We start from the raw sequence: 27,424 nt of genomic DNA, 5'->3' as shown, positions 1-27,424 counted from the left end.
TATTTTTATATTATACATATAGAATATGTATATATGAGAAATTCAAATTTAAATGGATGTCCCGGATTTTGGGAGCCCTGTTTCATCTGGTAGCCCTATTTGGGTCAGAATCACAACCTTCACGAAATAAAATAACCCTGATGGTAACAGGGGCCCAGCTCCAAAGAGTGACAGCAAACAGTCAAAGTCATCTTCATTTGCAGATGATGCACATAAAAATCCAGAAGAACTCATCACAAATGATTATCATCAATAAGCAATCTTGGGAAGGTTCTGAATATAACCTCATACTCACAAAGTGTATTTCTGTACACAAGCAGCAACAGAAAAATTTAATATATTTAGCATCAAAAAACTATCATATACTTGGATTAAGCCCACAAAATAAACGTCAGTGAGTCCACAGTGATACAAATAAAGGATTAAAAACACACTAGAGGGAGTGGAGGGAAAGTAGAATCCCATCAATGGGTGTAGGAGGGGGCAGGGAAGGAGCAGATTCCCATCGGGCACACAAGAAGTGCAGCGGCTGCAGCTGACAGCCACCGACGTATGTCCGCCGGCGCACGTTTCAGTGGGCAGGGGTTTGAAGAGAAGCAGAATTTCTCTTGTCTCAATATATCTCTTCCAAGATAAGTATCAACCACGAAAGGAAAACATAGTACATTTACAAAGGAGAAACCTGGCGGAAACCCCCCCACTAAGTGATCGAGGGCAACGTCACAAGCAGTGAGACATTCGCGGAAACCCTCCTACTAAGTGATCGAGGGCAACGTCACAAGCGGTGAGACGTTCCCGCACCGTAAGCCCCATGACATGATGTACGTCAAAAACACAACATCATTTCTGCTTTATTTTATTTTTAATTTTTAGAAACAGAGCCTCAGCCGGACACAGTGGCTCACACCTGTAACCCCAGCACTTTGGGAGTCCGAGGCAGGTGGGTCACCTGATGTCAGGAGTTTGAGACCAACCTGGCCGACATGGTGAAACCCCGTCTCTACTAAAAGTACAAAAATTAGCTGGGTGTGGTGGCGGCGCCTGTAATCCAGCTACAGGGGAGGCTGAGGCAGGAAGAATCACTTGAACCCGGGAGGAGGAGCTTGCAGTGAGCCAAGATTGAGCCACTGCACTCCAGCCTGGGCGACAGAGCGAGACTCTGTCTCACAAAAAAAAAAAAAAAAAAAAAAGGTCTCGCTCCATCGTCCAGGCTGGAGTGCAGTGGCTCCATCTTGGCTCACTGCAAGCTCCGCCTCCCGGGTTCACGCCATTCTCCTGCCTCAGCCTCCTGAGTAGCCAAGACCACAGGTATACACCACCACACTCAGATTCATTCTTCAAAAGTGTCAAGGTCGTGAAAGAAAAGTCATGACTATAGGAACAGTTACAGACTACAGGTAACTATGCAGAAACAGCAAATAAATGCAATATGGCATCCTGGAAAAACTGGTGAAATTTGAGAAGGTCTTTAGTTAATGGTTTTATGCTAGTGTTGATTTCCTGGTTCTGTTCCTTGTACTGTCTCTATGTAAGATGTTAATCTTAGAGGAAGCTGGGTAAGTTACACATCTATGGAAAATCCCCATACTAATTCTGTTACTTTTCTGCAAGACCAAAACTACTTGAAAATAAAAAAGTAAACAATTGTCAAATACTAGGATTAAATCTGACAAAGATACACACAAGATCTCTATACACATGAGCAAACACACACACACACACTCATAAAACATTTCTGAAGAGCACTAAGACAAAACAGAAAACAAAAGGAGAGATATACCATATTCATAGATTGAGTGGACACTGCTGTAGAGGTGATACTCTCCGCACATTGAGCTATAGGTTCAACGAAATCCTAATGAAGTTCACCCAGCAGGGCTGTTTTGCTTTGTTTGTGTGAAAATTGACCACGTGATTCTGGAATGTATCTGCGAAAGAGCCAAGAATGGCAAATAATTCAAAGAAGAATTCGGTGAGAGGACTTGCTTTTCTTGATATTAGGACCTCATGTCGGTGAAGACAGTGCGATGTTCTCACACGGAGACCAGTGGCCGTGGGTTCAGAAACAGCCCCCGGGCATATGGGCACTTCCTGGCCAGGGGGCCTACAGAGCCGTGGGAAAGAATAGAGATTTCAGTCAGTGGTGGGGTCCAATCAGAAACCCGTATGAGGAGAGGGAGGACAGGTGTCTGCTACTTTACCCCATTCACAACAGGCAATTCCAGATGGACTGGTGATCGCACCGGAAGGCAAAACCATAAAGCTCGTTGAAGATCACATGGGAGAACAGCTTCAGGAACTTGGAGTTGGAAAGATTTATTTCAGAGACCACCACAAAAAATACCCAAAAGAAAACATGTTAAAATCAGTACGTTCTTTTTTTTTTCTTTTTTTCGTGAGACAGAATCTCGCACCGTCACGTAGGCTGGAGTGCAGTGACTCGATCCTGGCTCACTGCAACCTCCACCTCCCGGGTTCAAGCGATTCTCCTGCCTCAGCCTCCCAGGTAGCTGGGATTACAAGTGCCCACCACCACGCCTGGCTAATTTTTGTATTTTTAGTAGAGATGGGGTTTCACCATGTTGGCCAGGCTGGTCTTGAACTCCTGACCTCAGGTGATCCACCCACCTCAGCCTCCCAAAGTGCTGAGATTACAGGCATGAGCCACCATGCCCAGCAAAAATCAGTTAGTTCTATTCACGAGAAGACACCATTGAAAGTAAAAATGCCAGTGAGTGGGAGAAGGTATTTGCAATCCATGTAACTGACAAAAGGTTTGTATTCCGAATATATTGGGAAATACTACAAAGCCGTAAGAAAAAAGGCAGCAGCACAATAGAGAACTAGTAACATACCTGAATGCACACAAGAGCCTACCCAGGTGGCCAATAAATATATGGAAATGTGATGAATCTCATTAGTCACCAGGGAAATCCAATCTAAAACCTCACCTAATACCACGCACACCGGCTAGAGAGAGGCTGCTACTACCCACGGGAGGCTTGCAGAACACCGGTCCCTACACTGCTGTGGGGAGGGAAATCAGAACACCCACGTCAGCAGACGGCTTGGCACACCTGTGCCTTAGCAACCTTTCTCCCAGGTGTGTGCCCCCAAAAATGCATGGATGTGTGCACCAGGAGACACGTGCAAGAAAATCCATGCTAGTGTTATTTTTAAAACCAAAATCTACAAATAATCCAAATGTCTACCAGCAGTAGAATGAATCAGTAATGTTATATGCACATAACAGACACCTAAACAGCCATGAACATGAACCACAGCTACATAAAACAAAGGATGACTTTTAAAATATGTACTTTATATACCACAAAGGAAAAGACGACTAAAGCATGTCAAAATGTAAAACTTCTGCTTATCTAAAAATAACATACCAAAAGTGAAAAACCATATAAATTTGGAAAAGAAATTTGCAACACATAAACCTGTTAAAGAACTTCTGCATATGTCAAAGAAACAGGTAAGTAATCCATAGAGCAATGGGCAGAGAGATGAACAGGCATTTCCCAGAAGAGGAAAATGGATTGGCTAATAAACCTTTGAAAACACATTCCATGAAATGCAAACTAAAATTACCATGGAGGCTCATTTTATATCCAGTAATTTTGCAAAATGTAAAGATAGACATTCTCAGATTGGGTGAGGATGAGAGGATTATATATAATCATAAATATATGATTTTTTTTTTTTGAGACAAGGTCTTACTCTGTCTCCCAGGCTGGAGTGCAGTGGTGTGATCCTGGCTCACTGCAACCTCGGCCTCCAGGGTTCAAGTGATTCTCCCACCTCAGCCTCCCAAGTAGCGGGGATTACAGGCGTGCGCCACCATGCCTGGCTAACTTCTGTATTTTTTGGTAGAGACGGGGTTTTACCACGTTGGCCAGGCTGGTCTTGAACTCCTGACCTCAAGGGATCTGCCCGCCTTGGCCTCCCAAAGTGCTGGGATTACAGACATGAGCCAACAAACCCGGCGCGGCTATATATATGATTCTTGAAATTTTTATTTTTTATTTTTTGAAAATTGTATTTTAAAAGTAAGGGAATGGTGAACACATTTGTAAGAGTGGATTCATCTGCAGGGAGGAGCAGAGTTAGGTGGGGATGCAATAGTGTTGGTGACATGTGAGCTCTTACATTCTATTGTCCTAAGGCACATATATATTACATATGTTCTTTTGTACACAATTTTTAAGAGATTTTTATGCATCCAGCAATTCCTTGAGGTTCACTAATTTTCATTTGTTAAATTTAACATTTTATTTTTAAAATGAAATGTATAAAATATCTCTGCTGTTATAACATTCTCTCTCTCCATCTCTTTCTGCCTCTTCATAATTATGGAAATTTACCCCTGTAAAAATGGAGAGAGAAATATTTGGATTATTTATCAAATGTTTGCACGTTTGTTATTTCTTTTTTCAGTTTTGTTTTGTTTGGTTTTTTTAGAAACAGGGTCTTGCTTTGTTACTGAGGCTGGAGTGCAGTGACGCCATCACGGCTCACTGCAGCCTTGACCTCCCCAGGCTCAGGTGATCCACCCACCTCAGTCTCCTGAGGAGCTGGGACTACAGGCACTAATTTTTTTTTTTTTTTTTGTAGCGACGGAGTCTCACCATGTTGCCCAGGCTGGTCTCAAACTCCTGAGCTCAAGTGATCCTCCCACCTCAACTTCCCAGAGTGCTGGGGTTTAAGGCAGGAGCCACTGCGCCTGGTCTGCACGTTTGTTATTTCTGAATACTGGGATACTGGAATATTGGATGATTTGTGATCTGCAGCTTTTTCCTTTGATTTGGGGGCGTTGCTTACAGGTTGTATGAGTCAGGTTTTGTTCGTTTTTTTTCTGCTACCAAGCAGCTGTCCACCTTTCCTGTGCAGGTGGAATCCTCTGCCGCCGAGTCCTTCCGGCGGGCCCTCCACACAATGTTTCCTGTCTCTGTTCTGTGACTGCTGAGAGTATCAGAGGAATGTAGAACTTTAAACAAGGCATGGTCCTTGAAGGAGAATCATCCTTCTATTCCCAGATCAGCTACATATTTTTAAATTCCCAAATCAAAACTTGAGGGACTTTTTGTGACTCCGTTGAAATGAATTATCATATCTCGTATAACAAAAAATTACCAGCTTAAGTCCCCAGTGTATTCATATGTTAAAAGAGGGTTAACCACTCTGCCTGCCCCTAGGGCTTGTGGATTTTGTTTCTGTTTGGAGGATCAATTGGCTAATGTGTTAGTCTGTTTTTGCATTGCCACAGAGGAACACCTGAGACTGGGTAATTTATAAAGAGAAGAGGTTTACTTGGCTCACGGTTCTGCAGGCTGCACAAGCATGGCACCTGCATCTGCTCTGCTTCTGGGGAGGCCTCAGGAAGCCTTTACTCATGGTAGAAGGTAAAGGAGAAGCAGGTGTGCCCCATGGCAAGTGGCAGAGCAAGATGGATGCCAGGCTGTGTAACCAACCAGCTCTCGTGCGAGCTTGTGAGCTCACGGAGTGGAACTAATGATGGTGAGGAGGGCACCAAACCATTCATGAGAGACCCGCCCCCATGATCCAAACACCTCCCACCAGGCCCCACTTTTGACATTGGGGATCACACTTCAATACGAGATTTGGAGGGGACCAAACCATATCAGCTAATAAATATAAAATACTTAGAGCAGGGTCTCACACACAATAAGCATTCAACAGATGTTAACTACCATTATCATATTCTTACCATCATTATAAGAAAAGCCAGGCCGGGCACGGTGGCTCACGCCTGTAATCCCAGCACTTTGGGAGGCCAAGGCGGGCAGATCATGAGGTCAGGACTTTGAGACCAGCCTGGCTGACATGGTGAAACCCCGTCTCTAATAAAAATACAAAAATTAGCCAGGCGTGGTGGCGGGCGCCTGTAATCCCAGCTACTCAGGGGGCTGAGGCAGGAGAATCTCCTGAACCAGGAGGCAGAGGTTGCAGTGAGCTGAGATCGCACCACTGCACTCCAGCCTGGGTGACAGAGCAAGACTCAGTTTTAAGAAAAGAAAAAGAAAAGGAAAAGAAAGGGAAAAGGAAAAGGAAAACAAAAGGAAAGGAAAGGAAAGAAAAGAAAAGAGAAAAGAAAAAAAAAGAAAAGAGGGAGGGTCATGAATTTCCTACCACAACAGCCTGTCAGAGAAAACACAGCATCACTAGGGGATTGCGTAGACTAATTGCACAGTCTGAGACTTCATTCTCCAGTTTTATTTCAATAGAAAATGATGGTTTTGGGGAATGCCTAGGTCATTGTCAGCTTAATCAGAAGGTGACTCCCCTTGCAGCTGCTGTTCCAAGTGTGTTCTCCTTAATGAAACAAATCAATACAATTTACCACCTGTTATGCAGTGACTGATCTGGTAAATATTTTTTCCTTCCTCAATCAACATTCACCAGAAGCAAGTTGCCCCTCCATGGAAGTGGCATCAGCGTATCTTCCCATCTTGTCATGTCCACAGGGAGCTTGGTGGTCTCAGCACCCCTGAGATGATCTTGACAGTGCAGTATGCTGATGAGGGCACAGGGATAGGACCTGGGAAGCTTTTGGAAGCAGTGGATGCCCTGGCTGCCTAGTGAGATGTCCATGCCTGGCAGATGGGCACAGCTGGCCAAACAGGGCCTGGCTCCTGGGTAAAGCTCTGAACATCCAGCCGTCTACACTGTGGTCCTCAAACTTTCTTTTCTTTTCTTTTCCCTCCCTCCCTCCCTTCCTTCCTTCCTTCCTTTAGATGGAGTTTCACTCTTGTTGCCCAGGCTGGAGTGCAATGGCGCGATCTCGGCTCACTGCAACCACTGCCTTCTGGGTTCAAGCGATTCCCACCTCAGCCTCCCGAGTAGCTGGGATTACAGGTGCTTGCCACCACGCCTGGTATATTTCTATGCTGACATCTAAAGTTCTTCCTAACAAGTTTAAATAGTTACAAAGGATCAGATTTCTGGTATATTGATACATTTTAAAGTAAACTCTTACTTTACGAATGGGATACAAATACCATAAATGATTGGACACCCATAATCACACTTTGTAGACACACAGAAGCTCTACGATAAGTAGAAATGATATACTGTGTTACTCTCCTTGAAATACAATATCTATCCCACTCTCCTTTATATATGTCCTATAGAGGGAGAATGTATACATCATATATGTTAGGATATATTTCTATCCTAATATATGTTATGCTTTTTATTGCAGATCCTATAACACTTCCTGCAAAAAAAAAAAACACTGAAATTTATTTTCTTTTGAAATTTAATTTGTAAAACCTTACATATAGCTATAAGGCTCCATGTTTATGGGCTGGAGTATAGTGATGTGATCTCAGATCACTGCAGCCTCGACCTCCCTGGGCTCAAGCGATCCTCCTACCTCAGCCTCCGGAGTAGCTGGCACTACAGGCAGCTAATGCTTTTTTAAAAATGGTTTTGGTAGAGCTGGGGTCTTACTATGTTGCCCAGGTTGGTCTCGAACTCCTGGGCTGAAGCAATCCTCCCGCATAGGCCTCCTAAAGTGCTGGGATTACAGGTGTGAGTTACCCCGCCAGGCCGAGTTATCATTATGGCTGTCAGTATGTAATTGTTCAAAAACAGATAAATATATTACAAGATTTGGACACATAAAAAACAAAAGTTGGGTCAGAAAGGCAGAAGCAGTGGAGCAGACGGGGTCTGAGTCGGAGGCATCGCGTCCGCGCGCAGCTTCCCGGGGCCGGAGCAGCAGGCAGGGGCCGGGCGTCTCCGGGACTCCCAGGGGAGACGGGAGGCCGTCCCGCCACTAGGCTGGCGCGGGGCCCCGGGGGTAAAGGGTGGCGGCGGGGAGCCGGAGGAGCAGGGCGCCCGCGGGAGATGCTCCGGGTCCCTTCTCGGGCGCGCGGCTCCGGGGACGGCTCCACCTCCAGCCCTACCCCGATCTGCGCCCCAGGAGTCTCCGCTCCGCGCTCTGCTGCTCCCGGCGAAACCCGCATTGACGCCCTGGTTCAGGATGGGTCTTCAGGGCCCGCGCGCCTCCCTGACCGTCTTCGGCTCGCACCAGGAGGTCCCTGGTGCTCCTGCGCTCCGCAGCTGGTCCCGCCCCGCGCAGTCTTCCTAAGTCCAAAGTCGACCCCATGCCACCGCGCTGGGCCGCGCCCCGCCTCTCCCGGGCCCGCCTGCGCGGCGATGACCGGCTCCTGGGAGGGCCCCGCCGCGATGCCGAGCGCAGAAAACCCTCGCTGCTCCTCTGCTCCAACCCGGGGGCATCGCTGCTTCCAGAATCATCTCCGTGGGAGCTCAGGGTCCTTCTTGTTACTTTAAACTTATAATAGCTGTTTGGCCATTCTTCATAAAAACTTTACTATTTATTGTATTTATTTTGGACGCAGGGTCTCCCTCTGTCGCCCAGGCTGGATTGCAGTGACACGCTCAGGGTTCACTGCAGCCTCAGCTCCCAGGCTCAACCGATCCTCCCACCTCAGCCTCCCAAGAAGCTGGGACTACAGGCACCTGCCATTATCAACGCCTGGCTAATTTTTTTTTTTTTTTTTGTAGAGATGAAATCTCACCATGTTGCCCAGGCTGGTCTTGAACTCCTGCACTCCAGTGATCCACCTGCCTCAGCCTCCCAAAGAGCTGGGATTACAGGCGTGAGCCACCGTGCAAGCCCTACAATTTTAAATACTTAAATGTGGTAAGTTTTCTGTTTCCTGACTGTACTCTGATAGATGCAGTACTTGGCACCAGAATGTGCCATGAGACAGACCCTAAAAGACACAGTTGTGCAACTGATTTGGTTGTGTTCCTGTCCTTGTCCTCACCTGTGGTTGACAAGAAAGCCGGGCTCCCTGGGCTCTCAGGTGTGCAGGACTTGCCCTCCCAGCCTTCCCCACGGGAGCCACTGCCCCTTCAGTGGGGTGCTCCAGACAAGGGCGACATCCTGCGCTTTCAGGGCCCACAGAACACTGATTTTGGTGAATGCCAAATTCTGGGGCCCCAAAACACCATGGTGGTCCACCAGTCAAAGTGGTGGCTGACGGTCAGGGATCATGCAACTGTAGTCCAAGTTCATCTCGAGCTGGGCCTGGGAGTTCTGCAGAGCCTGCCTGTGGTCACTTTGCAAGCTCCTGAGTGTGTAGCTAAAAAGACATCCCAGAAACCGGCGGCATTCTCACATCAGCTCTGTGACCCACAGGGTTACGGCTGTCATGGTATAAAAAGTTAAATGGAAGCCCTGCAATTTTTCTTTCCTACCAGGTTAATGAACTCAAATCTGCATGTCTGGTGAAAATGCCAAGGTTAGTGCTACCCCCAAAAGATGTGAACGATGCAGGGCTGGTGATCCCCAGCACAGCCCCCACCTGACTCCCTAGCTGGGCGAGGCGCAAGGCGGGCATCCTTGGAGAACGCCTGTGGATTTTCACAAAGCTCAGCAGGTGGCTATTCCAACTGCACCTGCTGCTACTGATGTGACATATTTTCCAGAGCAAATTGACATGACCCCTGGCACCTGGAGTGAGCCATTGGCCTGGAAAATGCTTTTCTCCCTATAATCATTCACAAGGATGGGGCTGCTGGGCATGTGGGGCCCTTGCCCAGATATCCTCATCCATGTCCTCAGCAGCACCTTCAGGCAGGAAGAGCGGGAGTCAGACATAGGACTCTCCTCCAGGTTCAAGACCACGACCAGCCCAGCCCGTGCAAAGTGCAGGTTAACCTGGGCAGTAGCAGTCACCCGTGGAATCAGTGCCAGAACTCTGTGCAAGGGAAGCTCCTCATCGTGGATGAACCAGGCTATGTTTGCGAGAGGAGGGATTTGCTGGTGCAGGGCTGTAACGTCCACAGCCCTAGTGTGAAGCAGTGCTGCTGTGACGGCTGCTGGCCATGTCTCTTGCTGCCTGCAGCCCAGCCAGGAGCTTCTCCTGGAGCATCGTGGTGTTCCAGAACCTCTTCATGGCAGTCGAAGATCAGTATTGAGTCATGTCCGGCCAAATGCAGGACCTCATCCCAGGGCCTCATCCCACCGATTGGGACCCCATTGCGAAGAATTGCTATGGAGAAAGCCCACCCGAGCTCTTCCCGGCATGGCGGGTGCAGCGGATGCTCTCCAGCTTGGGCGAGGAGCTCATCTCCTGGGGCCCAGCTGCAGCACTCAGGCCAGGCCATGGGAAGAAGACAAAGGCAGCGCAGGGAAACCTTGGCTTTGACCACCTCTCGTGTTGTCATCTTTGGCCTCTGTGAAGCAGCTTGGAAATTCCAGCTGGTCCCATCGGGGAAGGAAGAAACCACAGCGAGGCTCCGGCAGTGCTGGTTCTTGGAGGACTGGACGCTGGGACCTGCACAGGGACCTGTGACTCAGGCTTGTCAGGGGCCAGGTGTCACTGCCAGTTTTGATCCAGGCCCCTTCACTGTAAAATTATTTATTGGATTCCTTTGGAGTAGTGGGAAAATTATAATGTTTTATGTAGGAGAATGCCGTGTCATTCTAGCTGAAAATGTTCAAGGAAAGTATTTTTGTTGTTCTCGTGTTCTCAAGTTTCATGAGTTAAATCATCCCTTCACCCAGATAAAATGTTTCATCTTCTTTTTTTTTTCTTTTTGAGATGGAGTTTCGCTCTTGTTGCCCAGGCTGGAGTGCAATGGCACATTCTCGGCTCATCACAACCTCTGCCTCCCAGGTTCAAGCGATTCTCCTGCGTCAGCCTTCGAGTAGCTAGGACTACAGGCATGTGCCACCATGCCCAGCTAATTTTGTATTTTCAGTAGAGACGAAGTTTCTCCATGTTGGTCAGGCTGGCCTCGAACTCCTGACCTCAGGTGATCCACCTGCCTTGGCCTCCCAAAGTGCTGGGATTTTAGGCGTGAGCCACTGCGCTGAGCCTGTTTTGTCTTTTAGAACGTGAAAAATAATAATTTGCAAGGATAACCAGAAACACTTTGCTTTTACATAATAGGGCCGACAAAACACCCTCACATTCTTGTCTCACTGCTGGGTCAGTGCTACCACTCTCTGAGGTAATCTAATCCAGAGATCTTTATTGTCTTGACCCCCAAAAGCATGAACTGATACACTATATTGGTGAATTTATCCTGATTGGACTAAATGAACACAGAGTAGCAAATACCTTGAATGCCTCAGTAAGAAATGACATTTTCATGCAAGCCATGAAAATTCAGGGTCCTACAATGTCAGTGAAGTTTCTAGGAATCCAGTAGCCTGGGGCATGTTAGAATATCTCCTAAAAGATGAAATACACCAGGCACAGTGGCCTGTAAAATCCTAGCTACTCAAAAGGCTGAGGTGGGAGAATTGCTTGAGCCCAGGAGTTCTAGGCTGCAATGAGCTATGATTATGCCACTCCAGAGTGGGTGACACAGTGAGACGCCATCTCTAAAAAAAAAAATTTTAAGATGAAAGACACATTGTGGCCAAGCGTGGTGGCTCATGCCTGTAATCCCAGCACTTTGGGAGGCCAAGGCAGGCGGATCATGAGGTCAAGAGATCGAGACCATCCTGGCTAACATGGTGAAAACCCCTTCTCTACTAAAAATACAAAAAATTAGCTGGGCGTGGTGGCGGGCGCCTATAGTCTCAGCTACTTGGGAGGCTGAGGCAGAAGAATGGCATGAACCCGGGAGGCGGAGCTTGCAGTGAGCCAAGCTCGCACCACTGCACTCCAGCCTGGGTGACAGAGTGAGACTCCGTCTCAAAAAAAAAAAAAAAGAAAGACACATTATGTACCTTACACTACCTGCCACTATAAACCGGGCGTATCTGCAGGCCTATGTGCTTTTTCAAAGGCGACCCTGGAGCCCTGCAACCCATTCATCAATTAGTTCATGGTCTGGTGGCTTTGAGTTGGCCCCTGGGCAAGAAGAGCCTCTGCAGTTAAGACCAGCATTCAATGCCACCTGCTTCACCACTTAAGCCTTGTGTCCCAATAGATCAGTGACACTCTGACTGTCAGTTGCACATATGAATATTGTTTGAAGCTTCTGGAGAAACCCAGTAAGAAAATCACAGCACAGAACCCTAGCGTTTTAGAGCAAAGTCATGCTCTTTTCTGCATAAGACTTTTTTTTTTTTAGACAGGGTCCTATTCTGTCACCCAGGCTGGAGTGCAGTGGCGCGATCACAGCTCACTGCAGCTTGACCTCCCAAGACTCAAGCAGTCCTCTTGCCTCAGCCTCCCAAGTGGCTAGGACTAAAAGTGTGCACCACCACACCCAGCTACTTTTTTTTTTTTTTTTAATTTTTTTAGTAGAGACACTGTTTCACTGTGTTGCCCAGGCTGGTCTGAAACTCCTGGGCTCAAGCAATCCTCCTGCCTCAGCTTCCCAAAGTGCTGGGATTACAGACGTGAGCCTAAGCTATTCTTTTGAGAAAAAAACTCTGGTTTGCTATGGGGCCCTGGCAAGCACTGATGCCTAATCACAAGACACCCAATAACTACACCATTTGGGATAGTCATCATGAACCGATGGCACCAGACCCACCAAGCCACGAGGTTGGGCGTGTGTACCAGCAATTCATGGTACACCGAGTACCATGAATGAAGATGAAACATAAGAAACTGGGTGTGCGAAGGTCCTGGCGGCTCAGATGCCTGTGACACGGGGTGCTCCTCCATCACCTCCTCCCTATTGATCCACACCAATGGCATCCTGGGAAGCTCCTCATGGTCACCTGACAAGGAAAGAAAAGCAGCCCTGGTTCTCAGACAGTCCCTCGTGGTGTACTGAGCTCCAGCCTTAAGTCAGGAGTGTGCCTGGCAATGAGAAGCACTTTGAGCTGTGAATTGTGTTGTCCACTTTGTCGGGACTAAGAGATCCGTGGAAGAAAATATTGACTTAGTTCCTGGTGGTAGTTAATGCTTTGGCTAGATACCAAAAAGAGCAGGCTTGGGAGACTGGTAAGAAGCATATCTGGGAAAGAGGATGTGGGTGGACAGCACAGAATGTGAAGATGTTGTGCACCTTTGCAAATGTCCACCAGAGTCATGCATTTTGGGGAGATGTACCAAGAGGGATCATCAGGAGGTTGAAACCATGCACTGTGGATGGCAGTCATGCTTTCCAGCCACCTTCATGCTTTATCAATGAGCAGCAGCAGAGATGGGGGCTTTGCATGGGCTCTACAACATAGATTAGATCTTCCTCCCCCCAAGGCTGCCACCACTGAATGCTGAACCTTCCAGCAGCAGAGATGGACACTGAGCCCCCAGCATGGCTCCACTTCCAGGGGCTCAGCCACCTGCCAGCAGGCTGACCACACTGAACCCTTTCCATCATGAAGGGGCACTGCGTGTCCTCACTGGAGGAATGGATTCTAGATATGAATTTGTTCTTGACTGCAATGATGTTGCCCGTGCCACCATGAGTTTATAAAATATTTATTCTGGCCAGGCACAGTGGCTCACACCTGTAATCCCAGCACTTTGGGAGGCCAAGGCGGGAGGATCACTTGAGGTAAGGAGTTTGAGACCAGCCTGGCCAACATGATGAAACCCCATCTCTACTAAAAATACAAAAATTAGCCTGGCATGGTGGCAGGCGCCTGTAATCCCAGCTACTTAGGAGGCTGAGGCACAAGAATTGCTTGAACCTGGGAGGCGGAGGTTGCAGTGAGCTAAGATCACGTCATTGTACTCCAGCCTGGGGACAGAGCAAGACTCCGTCTTAATAAATAAATAAATGAAATAAAATATTTATTCCACATCATGGTAACATACACAACATTGATGCGGACTAAGGAACTTATTTTCCAGCTAACTTCTTTCCCATGGAATGCACTGGTCTTGCTAGGTGTCCTGGCTCAAGAGGAGCTGGCGTGATAGAATGTTTAGTGGCCTTAAGACCTGGTTGCAGTGCCAGTTGGGAGATTGTATCCTGAGAATATATCACTGTATCTTATGGGATGCAGTATATGCTTTGAATCAGTGACTGATTTATGGTGCTGTGGGGGAAGCTCTATAATGGCCCTGGCTATCCTTTCTCCTGGTATTCATGCCTTGTGTAATTCCTTCCCCTTGAGTGTGGGTGGGACCTGTGACTTGCTTCTAACCAAGAGAACACAGTGAAGGTAATGGGATGTGATGTCCATCATTCCTGTAGTTACGTTACAGAAGATTGCTACCTGGCTGGGCGCGGTGGCTCACGCCTGTAATCCCAGCACTTTGGGAGGCCGAGGTGGGCGGATCATGAAGTCAAGAGATCGAGACCATCCTGGCTAATGCAGTGAAACCCCGTCTCTACTAAAAATACAAAAAAATTAGCCGGGCGTGGTGGTTGGCACCTGTAGTCCCAGCTGCTCAGGAGGCTGAGGCAGGAGAATGTCGTGAACCCAGAAGGCGGAGCTTGCAGTGAGCTGAGATCAGGCCACTGCACTCCAGCCTGGGCAACAGAGAGAGACTCCATCTCAAAAAAAAAATAATAATAAAAATAAGATTGCTACCTTTGTCTTGATGGCAGACTCTCTCCCTTGCAGGCTTTGATGAATTCAGCGCCATGTTGCAAGATGTCCTAGGCAGAGGCTCATGTAGCAAAACTGAGCTACATGGGGGCCCCTCAGCCCAACTGCCCACAAGGAACTGAATTTCATCAACAAGCATGGGAGCTTGCAGGCGCATCCTTCCCCAGTCGATCCTTGAGATGAGAATGCAGCCCTGGCTGAAACACCTTGGCGTTAGCCCTGGGAGAGGTGCTCAGCCAGAGGACCCATTTAGCCTGTGCCCGGACTCCTGACCCACGGATACGGCCGAATGATAACATAGTCACGAAGTCTGTAACCACTTGTTAAGCAGCAATGGCTCCTGAGGGGCAGACAAAGCAGCAGCAGCCATTGTCATGGCCCCTCCCCACATTGCTGCAAGCCCCTCCCCCTCTGGCTGAAGTGACTTCCAGGGCTTTAAAGAGCTGGTGCCTTTTTTTCCCTCTTGATTTTTCTCTTTTTCTCTTCTTAGGAGCCAAACATGAAAGGCTAGGACATTCAAAACAACTGTATATACTGGGGAAATTAGAAAGTGACCATAAATGCCAAAGAAAGGCTCAGAAGAGTCCCAAGAAGACCGTAAGTTTATACCCCAGCTGAGCCTTGGAAAGAGACAGCCTACAACAGTAGAAAAGAAAAAAAAACAAACAAAACCCAGCAAACCCTGGGGAAGGAGGAGAGTCTGATTTCCAGAGTTACCACATTATTAGATTCAAATGTCCAGTTTTCAACAGAAGTTCACAAGGCATACAAAGAAACAGGAAAGTATGGCCAATTCAAAGGAAAACAAAAATAAATCAACAGAAACTATCTCTGAAAAGCTGGGCGTGGTGGCTCACACCTATAATCGCAACATTTTGGGAGGCCGAGGCAGGCAGGTCACCTGAGGTCAGGAGTTCGAGAACAGCCTGGCCAACACGGTGAAACTCCCATCTCTACTAAAAATACAAAAATTAGCCAGGTATGGTGGAGGGTACCTGTAATCTCAGCTACTTGGGAGGTTGAGGCAGGAGAATCACTTGAAACCGGGAGGCAGAGGTTGCAGTGAGCCGAGATCATGCCACTGCACTCCAGCCTGAGACAGCGAGACTCCGTCTCAAAAAAAAAAAAAAAAAGAAACTTTCCCTAAAAATAACCTTGATGGCATGGCTACTAGACAAAGACTTTAAAACAATTATCTTAAAGAACTCAAGCACTAAAGGAAGACATGGAAGAAGTCAAGAAAATAATGTATGAATGAAATGGAAATATTAACAAAAAGGCCAGGTGCGGTGGCTCACACCTGTAATCCCAGCACCTTGGGAGGCTGAGGCAGGTGGGCCACTTGACCCCAGGAGTTGAAGACCAGCCTGGGCAACATAGCAAAACCCTGTCTCTACAAGAAATAAAAACAAAAACAAAAATTAGCCAGGCATGGTGGCACACACCTATAGTCCCAGCTACTCAGGAGGCTGAGGAGGGAGGATTGCTTAAGCCCAGGAGGTCAAGGTTGCAGTGAGATGTGACTGTGCCACTGCACTCCAGCCCAGGTGACAGAGTGAGACCCTGTCTCAAAAAAAAAAAAAAAAAAAAAAAAACGAACAGAGAGTAAGGGACCTGTGGGACACCATCAAACGGGCCAACATATACATTTTAGGTACCTCAGAAAGAGAAGAAAGAGAAAGGGGCAGAGAGAATACAGTCATGCATCACTTAACAACAAAAATATGTTCTGAGAAATACATCCTCATGTGATTTCAACATTGTGTGAACATCGTAGAGAGTACTTATACAAGCCTACATGGTATAGCTACTGTATACCTAAACTATATGGTATATAACTTATTGCTCCAAGGCTACAAATATGTACAGCATGTTACTGTATTTAATACTTAGGCAATTATAACACAATGGTAAGTATTTGTGTATCTAAGTACATATAAACATAAAAAGTACAGTAAAAATACAGTATTATAATCTTTGAGGACCACCATCATATATGCAGTTCATTGATGACCAAAATGTCATTATGCAGCTTATGACTATGTTTGAAGAAATAATGGCTGAAAACTTCCCAAATTTGATGAAAGACATGCATATAAACATCCAAGCAGCTCAAGTAACTCCAAGTAAAATGAACTCAAAGAGACCCACACTGAGACACATTATAGTCTAACTTTTGAAATGCAAAGTTAGAATCCTGAAAGTAGCAAGAGGGAAGAAACTTGTCACATACAAGGGATCCTCAATAAAATGACAAGCAGATTTTTCATCAGAAACTTGGAGGCCAGAAGGCAGAGGGCCAATATATTTAAAGCACTAAAAGAAAGGCTGGGTGTGGTGGCTCACGCCTGTAATCCCAGCACTTTGGGGGGCCAAGGTGGGCAGATCACCTGAGGTCAGGAGTTTGAGACCAGCCTGGCCAACATGGTGAAACCCTGTCTCTACTAAAAATACAAAAATTAGCTGGGCCTGGTGGCAGGCGCCTATAATCCCAGCTACTCGGGAGGCTGAGCCAGGAGAATCGCTTGAACCTGGGAGGCAGAGGTTGCGGTGAGCCAAGATTGTGCCATTGCACTCCAGCCTGGGCAACAGAGCAAGTCTCTCTCTCAAAAATAAAAAAATAATAAGAATAATAAATAAAGTGCTAAAAGAAAAAAAAAACTGGCAAAAAAGAATCCTATATCCAGCAAAACTATCCTTCACATGTGAGGAAGAAAATAAGACATTCCCAGATAAACAAAAGCTGAAGGAGTTTGTTACCACTAGACCTGCCCTGCAAGGAATGCTCAAGGAGGTCCTGCAGGTTGAAAGGACACTAGATGGTAACTCAAAGCTGTTAAGAAGAAATAAAGATCTCAATAAAGATAAACATGTGGGTAACTTCTAAGTCTATGTCTGTTTTGTATAGGATTTTATATATATATATACACACACACACACACACACACACACACACACACACACACTTTTTTTTTTTTTTGAGATGAAGTCTCGCTCTGTTGCCCAGGCTGGAGTGAAATGGCATGATCTTGGCTCACTGCCACCTCTGCCTCCCAGGTTCAAGTGATTCTCCTGCCTCAGCCTCCCAAGTAGATGGGATTACAGGCACCTGCCACCACACCCGACTAATTTTTGTATTTTTAGTAGAGACGGGGTTTCACCATATTGGCCAGGTTGGTCTTGAACTCCTGACCTCAGGTAATCCACCGATCTTGGCCTCCCAAAGTGCTGGGATTACAGGCCTGAGCCACCATGCCCAGCCCATATTTTTAAATTATTATTTTTAAATTATTTAAAAGCTACTATTACTATAATTTTGGTTTGTAACTCCACTTTTTTCCTAGATAATTTAAGAGACCAGTGCATTTATAAGAATTATTTATGTTTTGGAGTACACAATGTATAAAGATGTAATTTTGTGACATCAGCAACTGAAAGGAGTGGAGACAAAGCTGTAAAGGAACAGAGTTTTTTATGTCGTTGAAGTTAAGCTGGTATAAATTCAAATTGGAGAGTTAGAACTTTAGGGTGTTAAATGTAAACCCCATAGTAACCACAAAGAAAACCTATAGAATATATACCAAAGGAATTGAGGAAGAAATTGAAACATTTCACTACAAAAAAACACACACACACACACACACACAAAAGAAGACAGTAATTCAGGAAATGAGGGACAAAAAAAGTTATATGGCATATATAAAACACATAGCAAAATGACAGACGTAGGTCCTTTCTTGTCAGTAATTATTAATTTTATTTTATTTTTTGTTTTTTAGAGGTGGGTTCTTGCTCTGTCACCGAAGCTGGAGTGCAGTGGTGCAATCATAGCTCACTGTAACCTCAAACTCCTGGGTTCAAGTGATCCTCCCATCTCAGCCTTCCAAGTAGCTAGCACTATAGGCACATGCCACCATGCCTGGCTAATTTTCTGTAGAATGTGGCCCAGGCTGGTCTCCAACTCCAGGCCTCAAGCAACCCTCTCATCTCAGCCTCCCAAAGCACTGAGATTACAGGCATGAACCACTGTGCCCAGTCTCTCCTTATCACTAATTACTTTAAATGTAAATGGATTAAACTCTCCAATCAAAAGACAGAGATTGGCAGGATGAATAAAAACCCCTGATCCAAGTATATGCTGTCTACAAAAGATTCACTTTAGATTGAAAAACACAAACATTGAAAATGAAAACATAGAAAAAGATATTCCATGCAAATAGAAACCAAAAGAGGAGGAATGACTGTACTAGTATCAGACAAAATACATTTTTAAATCAAAAAAGTTCACAAGGGAGGTCAGGGACGGTGACTCACACCTGTAATCTCAGCACTTTGGGAGGCTGAGGCGGGCGGATCACCTGAGGTCGGGGGTTCGAGACCACCCTGACCAACATGGAGAAACCTCGTCTCTACTAAAAATACAAAATTAGCTGGGCGTGGTGGCGCATGCCTGTAATCCCAGCTACTTGAGAGGCAGGAGAATTGCTTGAACCCAGGAGGCAGAGGTTGCAGTGAGCCGAGAACGTGCCATTGCACTCCAGCCTGGGCAACAAGAGCGAAACTCCACCTCAAAAAAAATAAAAAATAAAAATAAAAATAAAATTTAAAAAAAAGTTCACAAGAGACAAAGAAGGACATTATATATCAAAAAAAGTTCAATATAGCAAGAATATATAATAACTATAAATATGTATGTACCTAATGTCTGATCATCAAAATATATGAAGCAGGCCAAGCATGGTAGCTTACATCTGTAATCCCAGCATTTTGAGAGGCTCAGGTGGGCAGATCACCTGAGGTCAGGAGTTTGAGACCACCCCGGCCAACAGGGCGAAACACCATCTCCACAAAAAACACAAAAATTAGCCAGGCATGGTGGCAGGCACCTATAATCCCAGGTACCAGGAGGTGGAGATTGCAGTGAGCCGAGATCATGCCACTGCACTCCAGCCTGGGCAACAGAGTGAGATTCCGTCTCAAAAAAAAAAAAAATAAATAAATAAATAAAATATATATATATGATTGATATATATGATATATATCATATATATCATATATTTTTATGTGATATATATTTTTATATATTTATATGATATATATTTATATATTTATACATATATTTATATATTATATATGATATATAATATATAATTATATATGAGATATATGTATATATTATATATGATATGATATATAATTATATATTCACATATTTATATATATTTATATATTTTTATATATTTATGTTTTTATATATTTTATATATTTTTATATATATTTTTATATTTTTATATATTATATATTTTTATATATATTTATATATACATTTATATCATATATAACATATATGATATATAGGTATATATTTATATATGATATATATGATATATTTATATATGATATATATTTATATATTATATATATTGATATATACATTTATATCATGTATGATATATATCATATATGCTATATATACGTTTATATCATATATGCTATATATTTATATACATTTATATCATATATGATATATATTTATATTTAATATATGATATATATTTATATTTTTATATTTTATATATGATATATATTTATGATATATATTTATATATGATATATTTATATATGATATATATTTATATATAGATATATGTATATATTTTTATATATTTATATATAGATATATATGTATATTTTTAAGTATTTATGATATATATATTTATATATTTATATATGATATATATATTTATATATTTATATATGAAATATATATTTATATATTTATATGATATATATTTATATATTTATATATGATATATTTATATATTATATATATTTATATGATATATATTTATATATTTATATATGATATATATGATATATATTTATATATTTATATATGATATATATGATATATATTTATATATTTATATATGATTGATATATATTTATATATTTATATATGATATATTATATATTTATATATTATATATGATATATATCATATCTATATTTATATATTATATATGATATATATATCTATATTTATATATTATATATCATATATATCATCTATATTTATATATTATATATCATATATATCATCTATATTTATATATTATATATCATGTATATTTATATATGATATATATATTTATATATACATATATGAAGCAAAAGCCAACACAATGGACTGAAGGGAGAAATAGTTTTACAATAATAGTTGGAGATAATACCCGCCCCCATATGGATAGAACCACCAGGCAGAAGATAAGAAGATAAGTAAAGAAATAAAGGACTTGCTGGGCATGGTGGCTCACACCTGTAATGCCAGCACTTTGGGAAGCCAAGTCGGGTAGATCACTTGAGCTTAGGAGTTCAAGACCACTCTGGGCAACACGGTAAAGCCCTGTCTGTATAAAAAATACAAAAATTAGCCAGGCGCAGTGGTGTATGCCTGTAGTCCCAGCTACTTGGGAGGCTGAGACAGGAGAATCGCTTGAGCCCGGGAGGCAGAGGTTGCAGTGAGCCGAGATTGTGCTGTTGCACTCCAGCCTGGGTGACAGGAGTGAAACCCTAAGAAAAGAAAAGAAAGGAAAAGAAAGGAAAGGGAAAGGAAAGGGAAAGGAAAGGAAAGGAAAGGAAAGGAAAGGAAAGGAAAGGAAAGGAAAGGAAAGGAAAGGACTTAACACAATCAACCAACTAGATCTAACAGACATACAGAACACTCTAGCCAATAATAGCATATACATTCTTCTCAAGTGTACATGGGATATTTTCAAGGGTAGACCATATGTTAGGCCACAAATTAACTCTCAATAGATTTTTTAAAATCACGCTGCGCAAAGTTTCTTCTCTGACCACAGTGGGATGAGGTTAGAAATCAATAACAGAAGTAAAAGTGGAAAATTCACAAAATGGTGGAATTAAACAATATACTCTTTTTTAAAAAAAAACACCCTTCAACAGTCAATGGATCAAAAAAGAAATCACAAAGAAAATTAGGAAATACTTAGGAACAAATGGAAGCAAAGACACAACATACCAACCTTAGGAGATGCAGCAAAAGCAGTGCTAAGGGGGAAACTTACAGCCATAAACGCTGAAACTAATACATAAGATTTCAAATCAATAACCTACCTAACTTTATAACTTAAGGAAATACACAAAGAAGACCAAACTAAAGCCAAAGCTAGCAGAAGGAAGGAAATAATAAAGATTAGAGATAGACAAAATAGAGAATATAAAAACATGGAGAACACAAATGAAACTAAAAGTTGGTTCTTTGGAAGGATCAACAAAATTGACAAACTTTTAGCTAGATGGACTAACGAAAAAAGAGAGAAGGTTAAAATTTACAAGACCAGAAATAAAAGTGGGAACATTACTACTGATTCTATAGAAATAAAAAATATAGGCCGGGCGCGGTGGCTCACTCCTGTAATCCCAACACTTTGGGAGGCCAAGGCGGGTGGATCACGAGGTCAGGAGATCGAGACCATCCTGGCTAACAGGGTGAAACCCAGTCTCTACTAAAAATACAAAAAATTAGCCGGGCGTGGTGGTGGGCACCTGTAATCCCAGCTACTTGGGAGGCTGAGGCAGGAGAATGGCGTGAACCCAGGAGGCGGAGCTTGCAGTGAGCTGAGATAGTGCCACTGCACTCCAGCCTGGGCAACAGAGCAAGACTCCATCTCATAAATAGATAAATAAAATAAAATAAATAAATAAAAAATATCATAAGAGAGTACTCTGAACAATTATATGCCAACAAATTGAGTGACCTAGATGAAGTGGACAAATTCCTAAAAACACAAAACTTATCAAGACTAAATCATGAAGAAATAGGAAATCTGAATAGACATATAACTAGCAAGGAGATTAAATCAGTAATCAAACATCTCCAAACAAAGCCTGGGCATGGTGGCTCACACCTGTCATCTCAACACTTTGGGAAACCAAGGTGGGAGGATCACCTGAGCCTAGGAGTTCAAGAGCAGTCTGGACAACATAGTGAGAACCCATCTCTACAAAAAATTAAAAATTTAGCCAGACATGATGGCACACACCTGTAGTCCCAGCTACTTGGGAGGCTGAGATGGGAGGATGGCTTGAGCTCCAGAGGTCGAGGCTGCAGTGAGCTGGGATTACACCACTGCACTCCAGCCTGGGTGACAGACTGTGCCCCTGTCCCCTGCTCAAAAAGAAGAGAGTGAGAGAAACCAAAACCAAAATAAACAAGGAACACTCAACAAACTAGAAATAGAAATTTATTCAGCCTGATATAGATCATTTATGAAAAACTAACAGCAAACATCATCCTCAATGGTAAAAGGCTGAAGGATTTTTCTCTAAGGTTAGGAACAAGGCAAATGCCTGCTCTTGCCACTCTATTCAGCATAGTGCTGGGAGTTCTAGACAGAGCAGTTAGGCAAGGAAAAGAAATCTAAGGCATCCAAATTGGAAAGGAGGAAGTAAAATTATCTCTGTTTGCCAATGATATGATTTTATATGTATGAATAGAAAACCCTAAAGATTCCACCAAGGGCAAGGTACGGTGGCTCACGCCTTTAATCCCAGCACTTTGGGAGGCCGAGGTGGGAGGATTGCTTGAGGCCAGGAGTTCAATACTAGCCTGGGCAACATAGTGAGACCCCATCTCTACAAAATAAAAAAATAGCCGGGGCATGGTGCTGTGTGCCTATAGTCCTAGCTACTCAGGAGGCTGAGGTTGGAGCACTGCTTGAGCCCAAGAGTTTGAGGCTGCACTGAGCCATGATCGCTGCACTGAGGCATGATCACAACACTGCACTCCATCCTGGGTGACAGAGAAAGACCCTGTCTCAAACAACAACAATAAGAAATGTATGAATGAGGCTGGGTGTGGTGGCTGAAGCCTGTAATCCCAGCACTTTGGGAGGCTGAGGGCAGATCACCTGAGGTCAGGAATTTGAGACCAGCCTGGGCAACATGATGAAACCCCATCTCTACTAAAAATACAAAAATTAGCTGGGCATGGTGGCACACACCTGCTATCCCAGCTACCTGGGAGGCTGAGGCAAGAGAATCGCTTGAACCCAGGAGGCGGAGGTTGCAATGAGCCGAGATCGCTCCACTGCACTCCAGCCTGGGCGACAGAGCGAGACTCCATCTCAAAAAGAAAAAAAAAAGGAAGAAATGCACGAATGAGTGAACTCCTGGCAGGAGCTCTGTGGTGACTGTCTTCTGTAAGCCCGGGTTGATATTGGGGAAAACAGCCAGGAAACTGATTGCCCTGATATCAACTGGGATGTGGGATTCTGGACAAGGTCAGTAGGGTGTTGCTGACCCAGTGAGTATGATCAGAGACACGTCAGGCTCTGCCAGCCGGACAGCAGCTGCCACAGTCTCTCACCCAGTTTCCAGATTTGAGTGAAATTCAGACTCACAGCTGCCAAACTGAAGAGGAGGCTGGAAGCCCTAGGGCGTGCGGCTCTCCCAATACAAAGCATGCCAACCACTCCCACCAGTTACGCTCCTACTCTGTCCCCAAAGGAGTCTGTGGCCATTTGCCAGGGTTGTGTCACCAACATAGAGGGGTACAGAGAGGCTTTTCGAGGACGGGAACATGGTGTGTAGCCGGACACTGACATTGACGCCAGGACTTTGACAAGATCACCACACCCCTCTGTTTACTGAAGTCATGGAAGGCACTGTGGCCCAAGTCCATCTCTAGTGGGTCCAGTGGGTCTGTAGGTCTGCCCTGTTTATTGGGATACACATTCTTAGCTGCCAGCTGAATGCTCACATTGGCTCCTTGGCCGGAGGAGTAAGGGTTGTTACGGCAGAAAGAACCAAGTGAGAGCCTGTGGAACTTCCTCCCTCCAGCAAGACAGTGAGCCTGATAGAAGGAGTGCTTTGCTTGAGGAATTGCAGAGGTTAACACCAACATCAGAGACCAGGGAAGCAGGTGTGGTGGTTTCCATCTCCATTAGATTCACCTGCCTGGCCTTTGCAAAAACAAATTAATAATGACCGTGGGTGATGGACTGCAGTCAACTTGAAGAGGCAGCAGGGCCAGTGAGAGCTGCCACGCCGCGAGTGGTCTTTTTGCTGCAGCCGACCAACATAGCCTCTGTACTTGGTGTGTGACTAGCATCTTGGCAAATTCTTTCTTCTCAATATCCTCGCTCGGGAGGGTCAGAAGCAGTTCATCTTCACCGGCAGACAGCAGCACTCCTTCCCTGCCTCGTCTTGGGGCTGTGGCTGCTCCTGGGTTTTCTGGTGGGCGGAATAATGTCCCCCAAAGATGTCCACCTCCTGCCCCCTGGAACTTGTGAATACTTGACGTGATTCAGCAAAAAGAGAATGGAGACTGCAGATGAACTAAGGTTGCTAATCAGCTGACCTTAGGCCAGGAAGAACATCCCAGATTACCCGGGGAGATCCAATGCAATCACGAGGGTCCATGAAAGTGGAAAAGGAGCCAGGCCTGGTGGCTCACGCCTGTAATCCCAGCACTTTGGGAGGCTGAGACGGGCGGATCACAAGGTCAAGAGATCGAGACCATCCTGGCCAACATGGTGAAACCCTGTCTCTACTAAAAACACAAAAACTAGCTGGGTGTGGTGGTGGGTGCCTGTAGTCCCAGCTACTCAGGAGGCTGAGGCAGGAGAATTGCCTGAACCTGGGAGGCGGAGGTAGCAGTGAGCCAAGCCCCAGTGCACTCCAGCCTGGCAACAGAGCGAAACTCCATCTCAAAAAAAAAAGAAAAAGAATCCAATAAGTATTCAGAAACTAAAAACTACAATATATGAAACTAATGTTTCTGATCTCACTTATCTGTAGATGGCAGCATAATTATTCACACAACAAAATCATTTTTTAAATATGCACTGTGAGGCAGATGCCGTTTCAGTCACTTCTGAAGCAGGCTTCGTGTTCTGGTGTTAAATGTCCTGCCAGATCTACGGAAGTTCAGCTTAAGGAACACACCCAACACGATACATTTCCAAGTGCAATCGTAATTCCACTGAGCAAGCGAGGAGGGGACGCATGTCTAAATGTTAACAAAGATGCACTCTCGAGGTGTTCCATCTTATCAGCAAAATCCAGACTGGAAGACTCAAGTCAAACAGCCCAAGTCCTTGAGAACAAAAATTGTAAAGACGAAAAAAAGATGGAGAAAAACCCATACAGTTATACTGAAAGAGGCTTGCCAGACGTGGGAGCACACACCTGTAGTCCCAGCTACTCAGGCTGAGGCAGGAGGATCACTTAAGCCCAGCAGTTGGAGGTTGCAGTGAGCTAGGGTTACACCTGGGAATAGCCCCTGAACTCCAGCCTGGGCAAGACAGCTGACCCTGTCTCAAAAAAAAACAAAACGGAACAAAACAAAAACCCAAACCAAAAACAGTGGAAGAGGGAGGCAGAAGTGGAGAGCCAGAGGGAAGGAAACCCACAGCACGGCTGGCTTTCCTCGACGTCAGCCTGGCAAGGCCGTGCCCGGTGGCTACCCTGCAGAGCTGGTAGATGTGGTGGCTGCTATAGCAGCAACGGGACACAGGCACAGGGCCCCCCCATCTCCTGGGCATCTCAATGGTCCCAGGAGTTCTGGGGGGTGGGGGATAAAGCACCCGGTGAAGGGGTCCATAGATCTAGGCTGTGCCGGGACACTGTAGGGCAAAAGATAGATTCTGGCACCTGTGCCTCCGTCCAGCAAGAAAGACCCCGTGCTTGCCAGGCCCCTTAGCACCGTGACAGCAGCACAGGCCATGTTTGGGACCATCCCCAGTGTGGCCCAGGGCTGCTGGCTAAGGTGAAAGTAGCCAGGCTGCTTGGGCCACACTGTCTGGTTGGAGGATCCCGTGTGCAGGAGGTAGGGTGGTTGTGTATCCTCTGGCAGGCCCCCCTTTGGAGCTTCCCGCAGGTTTCTGGGGCTCTGGGGCTCAGCCACACCTTCCTGGTGGAGGCTATTCTTCTTTTGGAAAGCAGCTCCTGGAATGCTGCCTTCCCAGGCTGGGTTTCCCAGCTCCACATCACACCCCTGGGCAGCCCAGCAGCCATCTATTGCGTGGTGGAAAAGGTGTTTGTGGTGTTTGTGGGGCCCAGCCCAGATGACACAGGCGAGTCCCGGGGCCCAAGTGTCTACATCGCATTCGCCCCTTTTGCAGCTCAGATGCCTCCTGGGGAGGGCACCAATGCAGAGGAAAGGCTGGGAAAGGCTCCCACACCAACTCCAGCCTGACCTCCCCCGCATGCTGTAGTCCCAAGCAGGGAGATCCTGGCGGGCAGCAGCAAGGGAAGCCCCCGGGGGGCACCTCATCACCCACTTCCTGTGGGTGGGAAGAGTCACTTGAGCGCTGTGTATCACTGACTCCGGACACCAGTGAGGGCTGGGCTGGCTCTCCAGGGCCTGAAGTGAACGAGCCCGGGACAGTGGTGATGCGGACAGCTGGGAAAGGCTTGGGGGTGGCTCTGTGAGGAGCAGGGAACACCGAGCTCAAAGGGAGGTTCTGCATCCTGTGGGGACGCTCCTAGAGAGAGTCGGCCGCAGCGAGGGCACAGACAGGCTCGTGGACATCACGACTGCACCATGGACGTCAGCCAGCAGGCCCCGGGGCAGAGTGGCATGGGGGCAGGAATGGTGGTTACACCAACGGCATGAGCTCATTTTCCAAGATGGATCTAGAGCAGGTCCCACCCACGCAGAACAAGCCCTCTTTACAGATCACCAGACGTGGGGAGAGCAGGGCTGCAGGCCAATAAGAGGAGGCTGGGGAAGGCGTGCTCTGTCTGGATGGACTTCCTGGAATAGCCTCGAGTGCAAAAATAGCGTGTCCATGTGATGGCGACCAGGTGTCCCTGCGGCACAGAAAGCGCTGAGTCAGCGGCATGGACTCCTCCGAAGGCATGTCAGCTGGGTGGCCACCGCTGTGGGCTGGAGCCTAGCACGCCCTCCACGCTAAGTGC

General features: G+C 45.4%; 1 protein-coding gene and 1 pseudogene across 7 annotated transcripts in view; one reads left to right on the top strand and one right to left on the bottom strand.

Annotated features, from left to right (window-relative positions):
• The window catches only part of IQANK1 (IQ motif and ankyrin repeat containing 1), a 56,507-nt gene that overhangs the window by 21,578 nt on the left and 7,505 nt on the right, over positions 1 to 27,424 (bottom strand). Inside the window, exons 4-5 of one of the 6 annotated variants that reach the window (XM_047422100.1) lie at positions 12,528 to 12,691; positions 841 to 4,372 (exon numbers count right to left, since the gene is read on the bottom strand). The exons of 1 other annotated variant lie outside the window; for it this stretch is intronic. In XM_047422100.1, the coding sequence (XP_047278056.1) occupies positions 4,367 to 4,372; positions 12,528 to 12,691 (170 nt within the window). In that variant the 3' untranslated portion in view covers positions 841 to 4,366. Of the gene's footprint in view, positions 1 to 840; positions 4,373 to 12,332; positions 12,692 to 22,730; positions 27,317 to 27,424 lie in introns of those variants that run through there. 4 more of the 6 variants (XM_047422102.1, XM_047422099.1, XM_047422101.1 and 1 more) reach the window with 4 other exon arrangements.
• LOC105375800 (SREBF pathway regulator in golgi 1 pseudogene) lies at positions 8,560 to 10,576 on the top strand (annotated as a pseudogene). Its single transcript, NR_136279.1, has 2 exons — positions 8,560 to 8,698; positions 9,262 to 10,576. The product of NR_136279.1 is annotated as an SREBF pathway regulator in golgi 1 pseudogene (transcript).

The sequence above is a fragment of the Homo sapiens genome, chromosome 8 (assembly GCF_000001405.40).
Source record: "Homo sapiens chromosome 8, GRCh38.p14 Primary Assembly".
Taxonomy (NCBI): domain Eukaryota; kingdom Metazoa; phylum Chordata; class Mammalia; order Primates; family Hominidae; genus Homo; species Homo sapiens.
Note: the sequence above shows the minus strand (reverse complement) of the source record. Positions and strands in the feature narration are given on the sequence as shown.